Source organism: Homo sapiens, chromosome 9 (assembly GCF_000001405.40).
Source record: "Homo sapiens chromosome 9, GRCh38.p14 Primary Assembly".
Lineage (NCBI taxonomy): Eukaryota > Metazoa > Chordata > Mammalia > Primates > Hominidae > Homo > Homo sapiens.
The window spans coordinates 135642775-135651698 of NC_000009.12; positions in this window are offsets into that span (position 1 = coordinate 135642775).

Here is an 8924-nt window from a genome sequence, read left to right on the forward strand (position 1 = left end):
ATCACATTCACAGATACCAGGGGTTAGGACTTGGGCATATGTTTTTAAGGAATACCATTCTACCCAGCACACTTGGTAAAAAAAAAAAAAAAAAAAAAAATCAAAATAAAGCATCTGCCAGGTGTGGGGGCTCATGCCTGTAATCCCAGCACTTTGAGAGGCAAAGGTGGGTGGATTGTTTGGGCTCAGGAGTTCAAGACTAGGCAACATGGAGAAACTGTGTCTCTACTAAAATAGAAAAATTAGCTGGGTGTGGTAGCACACACCTGTAGTCCCAGCTGCTCAGGAAGCTGAGGTGGGAGGCTCTCTTGAGGCCAGGAGGTGGAGGTTGCAGTGAGCCATGATCAAACCACTGCACTCCATCCTCAGTGACAGAGCAAGATGTTGTCTCAAAATAAAAACAAAACACTGAACAGTACAAAGGGTTCTGCAATGCACACCAAGTCTACTTCTTTGCTGGCCCTGGCTCTCCTCCTCCTCCACCCCAGGAGCACACACTGTAACAGCCCTTGGGTTTTATCCCATAACCCTTCTATGCATGTAGAGACACACAGAGTTTTGTCTATAGTTCTCTTTTGGATACAAGTGGTGATGTGCTACACTCTTCAGCACTCTGAATTTCTCTCTCAGTATATTTTGAAGATCATTCCATTACATCTCATTCAAATTGAACTCATTATTTACAGCTGCACTGTATTCCATTATATGAGTATACCATAAGTTATGTAACCAGTCTCTTATTGACAGACATTCTGATGGTTCCGTCTTTGCTGTTACAAGAAATGCCACCACAACAATCCTGGGACATGCTCTGCGACCACATGCTGGCTGACACTGACTTGATCCCCAGAAATGTATTTGCTGGTGTGGATGAAAAGAGTCAAACTGTAAAATATTTGAAGAGATTTATTCTGAGCCAAATATGAGTGACCATGGCCTATGACACAGCCCTCAGGAGGTCCTGAGAACATGTCCCCAAGGTGGTCGGGGTAGAGCTTGGTTTTATATATTTTAGGAAGGCATGAGATGTCAATTAAATACATTTAAGAAATACATTGGTTTGGTTCAGAAAGGTGGGACAACTCATAGCAGGGATTTCCAGGCTATAGGCAAATTTAAACATTTTCTGGTTGAAAATTGGTTGAGGTTATCTGAAGACCTGGGATTAATGGAAAGGATGTTCAGGTCAAGACAAAGGATTGTGGGGACCAAGTTTTATTGTGCAGAGGAATCTCTCAGGTAGCAGACTTCAGAGAGAGAGCAGGTTGTAAAATGTTTCTTATGGGACCTAAAAGGGAGCCTGGCTCTTAGTTGATTATCTCCTGGATCTGGAAAGGAAGGAAGGAAAACAAAGGGGGAAGCAGATTCTTTATATGATATGGATTTTTCCCACAAGAGATTTTGCAGGGCAATTTCAAGGCATGGCAAGGAAATATATTTTGAGGTTAAATATTTTTTTCCTTGGCTCATGATATTATGCCAGAGTCAGATTGAAAAGCAAGTCACAATATACAGGGTCAAATAAAACCCATCTGATGAGAATCCATGATCTGTAGGGCATGACTCCCCAGATCCCTTAGGTAGGAATTTGGGCAGGATAAAAATTCAGAGGTTAGTTCTCACTAGGTTGAAGCTTCTGCCCATTTAGAATTTAAGCAGCTATTGTCAAGGTGCTTTCCACAGAGGTGGGACTGGTTCTACTGCACCATCAATGGATGGAAGCGCGCTTCCCTATGTCCCCAGCAACACAGATGCTGTGAACACGGTGCGCACTTGGCAATCTGCTGGTGTGTGTCAGATACAGTAAGTTCCTCTTCAAAGGTTTAATTTCTGACTTCCTTGTTCTCAAGATCAACTTCCTTGTCCCTTCTCCTAAGCTACTTGCTCTGTAAACTTCTCCCACCAGTCCCAATCTGTAACTCACATCTCTTCCTTATTTGGAAAGAGTCCTCTTTTACTCCTGGCTACCCATTCTGTAAACTGCCCCTCCCACCAAAACAGTTCTTCCAGCCGAAACTACCCTGCCTGCCTTTGCCGCACTCTGACATGCCCAAACATGCCTTGTACCATAACAGACAGCCTCTCCCTTCCTGCCTAATTAGCCGTATTCAGTTTTAAACAGTAGCAAATCAGGTCAGTTTAGATTGTGCAGTCCGACTCCAGCCAATGGAGACAGGACACAGAAGCAGAGACTAACCACGTTAGGGATAAAAACTCTTTCCCTCCTTTGTTCAGTGTGCTCTTGCAGTGGCCAGAAGCACAAGCAGCACCCTTCTGCAGAAGTAAGTTTGCCTTGCTGAGAAATCCTTTGTTCCAGTGCTCATTTTCCTTGTGACTCTGAGCTCTTATTTCTAACATATGAAATGTTCTCTTGTTGTAGTTTCAGTTTGCATTTATTTTACTATGGCTGATGTTAAGCATCTTTTCACCTGTTTGAGAGTCATTGCATTGCTTGTCTGTAAACTGTCTGTAGCTTTTTTTCCACTTTCTGTTAAGTTCTTTGTCTCTTTACATTTTAAAAGCGTGGTTCATCCTGGGTTGGCTGAGCCACACCTGTCCAGACCTGTCCATTCAGGGGCCCCTACCTCCAGCACTTGACACTAACTCATAGGCTGCAGACCCTACCCTTATCCACAGGCAACTTTCAGCCCTTTCCAAGGTCAAATGCCATATTGATTGTAGTATTTACGTATTCCTTACCATTTTCATTAGGTTCCTCCTTTTTATGTGTTACTGATGAAATTTTTGAACATTGTGATCCTAACCCCTATTTTTTCCCACCAGCCATGTGATTTTTTGGCACTAGTTTGCAGAGCATGGTGAATGTCACATTATAACAGAACTGATTGTATAGCAAATGGAAATACAAAGCAAATGGACAGAAATAAGTTTTCTACAACAGCAATGACAGCAAATGTAATTTGGTTATTCTTTCTAGTTTAAAGAAAATGACCCTTAGACAACATTTCAAAAAGTCAATAACATATTGTTTATAAGAGATACCAAAAAATGGGACATTGGAAGTAAAAATGGAGAACACTTTTCTATCAAATAAGAACCTAAAGAATGTTGAGAGTTGTTTGTTTGTTTTGTAGTTTTCAGCATGCAAATTCTGAACATGTTTCAGTAAAAATGTACATCTAGTATTTCATTTTTGGTGCTATTTTAAATGGTACTTTCTTTTTAAAAAATTGATTTGTGAAAGGAAAATAAAAAACTTGGGACCTCAATTCACCCATCCAAAAGAAAAAAAATTAAGCTGGAAGCTGAGTCATAGAAGAAGCTGCCTCTCCTTTTGTTCCTAAGCAGAAAGCTACAGATAAAAGGTTGAGTATCTTCACAGGTAGCTGCTCCATGTTCACCTGACCTTATGAAAAGCGTGGATTACTGAGCACAAGACAAATATATGATTGACTGTTTCCCTACATGTTCCTTTTCTCTTGCCACCTGTGGATGACCACACCCTCCTTCTTTTCCCCACCAGCCCACTTCTCCCTTTTAAATATTGAGGCCCTCAAAGTCATCTTTGGAGAAAGACACAGACCACAGACTGTTTCTGTGATTCTGGTTTTCTTTTCCTTAACATTGGCAAAATAAACTTCTCAATTGATTAAGACCTGTCTCAGATACTTTTTGACTTACAAATTGTGACCAACAGAAGGAACTCTGAGTGGAGGTGGTCCTTTGACAAATCTCCTGAGGACTAAACTCTGATTTTTTTTTTTTTTTTTGAGACCGAGTCTTGTTCTGTCACCCAGGTTGGAGTGCGGTGGCACGATCTCAGCTCACTGCAACCTCTGCCTCCCAGGTTCAAGCTATTCTCCTTAAACTGATTTTTTATCATGCCCAAATTCCTATCTAAGGGACCTGGGGAGTCATGCCATACAAATCATAAATTGTCATTAGCTGGGTTTTATTTCACCCTATATATTGTGACTTACTTTCCAACCTGTCTCTGGCATAACATTGTAAGACAAGGACGAAAATCAAAATGTTTGACCCCCAAAACATGTTTCTTTGCCATATCTTGAAATGGCCCTGTAAAGTTGTCCTTTGTGGGGGAAAATTTGCATCTCTAAATAATCTGAATTAATATAGCTAGATCTTTTTCTTCCAGGCCCTCCCAATCCTAAAGAGATTAACTAAAAGTCTAGCACCTTTTAAAGATCTGAATAGGAAACATTTGCCATCTATTGTCTCTAAGGGCAGCCACTATAAGACTCTAAAACAACCTTGGTCTCCACAATCTTTTATCTTAACCTGAATATTTCCTTTCTATAATCCCAGGTCTTTAGACAAACTCAACCAATTGTCAACCAGAAGATGTTTAAATTTACCTATAACCTGAAAGCACCTGCTTTGTCCACCTTTCTGGTCCAAAACAATGTATTTCTTAAATGTATTTGATTGATGTCTCATGCCTCCTTAAAATGCATAAAACCAAGCTTGTATAAAATGTATAAAACCAACCGCCTTGGGCACATGTTCTCAGGCCCTCCTGAGGGCTGTGTCATGGGCCATGGTCCCTAGTATTTGGCTCAGAATAAATCCCTTCAAATATTTTACCAAGTTTGATTCTTTTTGCAGACACTCCTATCGATGCTCAGTATCAGTTTGGGCTATCTTTATTGCTCAAATTAATAGGACAATTTGCTGAAGTCCGATTTGCTGAAGTCCAGGAGTATCCCCTTCTACCCCAGAGAATCCCTGATCTCCCAACATTCGGTTGAGATCTGAGGTTTCTTTTGCTGAGCAACTCCTTTTCTGGAGTTTCAGCTCGATTCCAACAGGGAAGGCGAGTTTGGGACTTTTCCTGTTTCTGAGACAGTAGAGAGCAGTCTTCAGCCTGGGCCCCATTTCTAGGTAAGTAGCTGAATTGGAGTTTTGTCTTGAAAATTCTCCCTCATGACTAAAAGTTAAGATTGACCACCGCCTGGTCTTCATTTCTGCTTCCATTAGAGAGCTCAGTAATCATATTGCCAGAAATTATAAGTTCCTCTTCAAAGCTTCTTTGGTCTTTCTTGCTCTGTACACAGCCCTTCCTGCTTAATCTGTAATGAGCACTTGTTTTTCTGCTTAATCTGTAACCTGCAAACCTCTTACTCTGTAAACAACTCTTCCCACCTAGTTGGTAAGGAACAGCCTCTCCCTTCCCGCATAATTGGCCTTATTCAATTTCAAACACTAGCCAATCGGGTCAGTTTAGACTGTGCAGTCCAACTCCAGCCAATGGGGAAAGGACACAGAAACAGGAACTGCATCAGCCAATGGGGAAAGGACACAGAAACAGGAACTGCATTAGGGGTAAAAACCCCTGCCCTCCCAGCTTGGTGTGCTCTTGCGATTGTGACTGATGCAGGCAGCACCCTTCTGCAGAAGTAAATGTGCCTTGCTGAGAAATTTTCTGCCTGGTTTTCTTTGCAGCACCAAGCATTTTTTTCTAACAATATAGTTTGGTTTCATTGTCGTTTTGGTCTTTCTCCCATTGGATTTGACCATCTCTACCTGACTTGGCCAAATCTGAATGAGAATTCCACACTATGGGTAACAAGCCCTCTGGATTGGCTAAAATTCCTTGAAGCTGCAAAAGAGAAAAAAAAAACATTCACTTGATTTCTCTGTGTGCTTCCTTTCTTAAAAAATTATTCTTTTATTTTTCTTCCACCCTATTTCTCCCAAAAAGGGGAAGCCCTTTTGCCATCTTTGGTACCAAGTGAAAAAAATGTCTACAGAAGGGTTCTAATTGAAGCGGCGTTGTTGTCTGGGGTAAATACCTGAGGTTTGTCATCTCACACCAGGGAAGTTGAGGATGCAGACACACAAGAAGTGAGTTTAAGATCAGAGGCTTAATAGGCAAAGGAAAGAGAAAAGAGGATAGCTCTCTCACCTGCGGAGAGAGAGGGGCGTCTGAGTGGGTCTTCCAGGTCCTTGGTGAAATGCACGAGGTTTTATAGACGAGCTTGAGGAGGCAATATCTGATTTACATAGGACATGAGAGATTGGTCAGACTAGGCATGCCATTTGCATAGTGCACAAAGAAGCTGGCCGACCCACCCTAATCTTTTATTATCCAGATGGGGTCTCTACCTGGCCAGTGTCATATTGCCTGCCTTTTACCACACAGGTGGCGACCAAGAAAAGGGAAGGGGGATCCTTCATGTTGAACAGACTTGGCTTCCAGGTATCCCTCTTCTATCACCACAGCTGCTAGCATTTACCTATGTAAGCTTTTAGCTTGTTTATCTATACTTGCAGCTTGATTTTTCAGGCTGCTTTTTGTTAGGAAAGAAATGATTGGGGGCTGCTTTTTATTAAAAGGAAACCTTGCTGAGGACTCTCTTACCCTCCTTATCTGCCTGAATTTCTTTCTCACTCCTGTATCATAATGACTTGGATCCTTAAATAACTCAGAATAAAGGCACCACTCACCCTGTGCGGGGGTGTTCTGCTTTCTGTGTGGAGTTTTCAGAGTCATGGCAGGTTTTTCTTAGGTCTAAAGTTCTGCTTTCCTGTATTGCATTACTTGACTTCTTTGACTTTTAGAGATACCAGAGATTACTCTGTACTGTGAGAATATTTGACCTTGGTGTGTGTCATGGCAGATGAGAGCTACAACGTTAGGGAAGGCTGAGGACAGTTTACAGGAAATGGTCATTACTACAGGGGGCCACTCATTGCACATTTAGATCAGAAAATTGTGCATGCTTTCTTGGCTCTGTTCCTTAGAGGGCTCCACCCTAAAGCCAGTGACCTAATCAAGCTCCGCTGAAAATACTACCTATCAAACTAAGTCACTTCAATAAAATTCTGTGTAAAGGAAATTTATGTCTTTAAAGGAAATTTCCATTTTGTAAGGACATCTCTGTCTCTGCGTCTAAACCACTAGGAACTTTAACTAAGGGGGAGACAATGGCTTCATTTACATAACAGACCTTGCCTTTTTTAGATCCAAGTCTGTGCCTTTGAGATGTACATTTTTTACCTTGCTTCACCTAAGTCATGTATTTGGAGATGTAAATTTAGAGTTACCTAGTTAACAATTGTTTAAGACATGGAATAGATAATCAAGAGATTAGTGGTATAAAGTAGGGAAGAAAAAAACTTTGAAAACAGGCAAGTGAAACATTTTAAATCCCTAAGATTTGCCTCTGTCTGTGTCTGTTAAGTCTGTGTGTTTATGTGTCACATGGAAACAATATTTCACTACCAATCATATGAAAGAGCTCTAATTAGTTGGCTTAAAGAAAAGTAAGTGTTTGTAGACTAATAGAAGCTAGCCCAGAGGCCTTTCAGCTCACATGACTTTAGTAATCTTTGGTAAGATTAATTTGGTAAATGTAATCTCACAATTCTCTCCAGTAATTGAAAATCTTAAAGTCATGTTGTGTTAAATTAAGTCATCCTAGGTTTTTTGCTGGAAATTAGGGTTTCTAAGAGAATAGTAGGAAAGTAAGATGCATTTTTGGTGAAGTTTATTTAAAAAACATGAGGATGTGGTTTTTGCTCAATGAAACATATTTTTTTTCTAGTTTAAAGGACCTTTCTGCTGGTGTCGAAGATAAAAACCGCTATTCACATCCAACCGTTCTTTTGTAAACTGGTGAGTTTGCATTGGTACCTCCTGGCTGGAATTCCAAGGCAAAAGCTATGGGACCTTTATTTGTGTGTGTGTGTGCGCGCACGCGTGCACATGTGTGATTGTGCGAGTGTGTGTGTGAGTGTGCATGTGTGTGGTGTGTGTGCGAGTGTGTGTGTGCATGTATGTGAATGTGTTCATGTGCATGTGCAAGTGTGTGGTGTGTGTGTGCGCAAATGTATGCATGTGCGTGTGCGAGTGTGTGGTGTGTGCGAGTGTGTGTGCACGTGTGTGTCATGTGAGTTTTGTGTGTGCGAGTGTGTGCATGTGTGGTGTGTGCATGTGCGAGTGTGTGTGCAAATGTGTCAGTGTGTGCATGTGTGTGTGCGTGTGGTGTGTGTGCATGTGTGTGAGTGTGTACGCGCGTGCATGCTTAGGTGTGTTTATGTGTGCATGCGTGTGTTTTGTTATGTGTTGTGACCACAAGGTACCAAATTGGCTTAAAAAAAAAGGAGTGCCAATAAATTAAGTAAATAAGTGCAAATACTTTTCAAGTTCATATGACTTCAGTAAATCTTTAATAAATAACCTAACTTTAAAATAATTGGTAAAATAAAATTAGAAATGTCTTCAGAATTGTCAACATACATTATTATTTAGATTTATTGGTCTAATGTTAATTTAATAAAAACAGTAAATCCTGTGTTATTGGCCAAAAAATTCATTTATTTAACCTTAAGATTCTTACTTAGGTAAACACCTGAAATTCACTGGCTATAAAAATGGTCAACAAGGAAATAACTTTAAATGATGACTGTAAGCCAAAATATATCTGAGACAGGTCCCAATGAATTTAGAAGTTTCTTTTGCCAAGGTTAAGGACATGCCATGTGAGCCCCCAAAATCTGAGACAGGTCTCATTTAATTTAGAATGTTAATTTTGTCAAAGTTGGGGACATTTGTCCACGACACAGCCTCAGGAGGTCCTGATGACAGGTGCCCACGGTGGTCCAAGCACAGTTTGGTTTTATGCATTTTAGGGAGACATGAGACATCAATCAACATACGTAAGATGAACATTAGTTCAGTCCGGAAAGGCGGGACAACTCGAAGCTGGGAGGGGGGCTTCCAGGTCATAGGTAGATAAGAGATAAATGGTTGTATTCTTTGGAGTTTCTGATGAGCCTCTCCAAAGGAGACATCAAATATGTATTTAACCCAGTGAGCCGAGGGATGATTTTCAATAGAATGAGAGGCAGGTTTGCCCAAAGCACTTCCCAGCTTGACTTTTCCCTTTAGCTTAGTGATTTGGGGGGCCCAAGAGATTTTCCTTTCACACCCATGACGC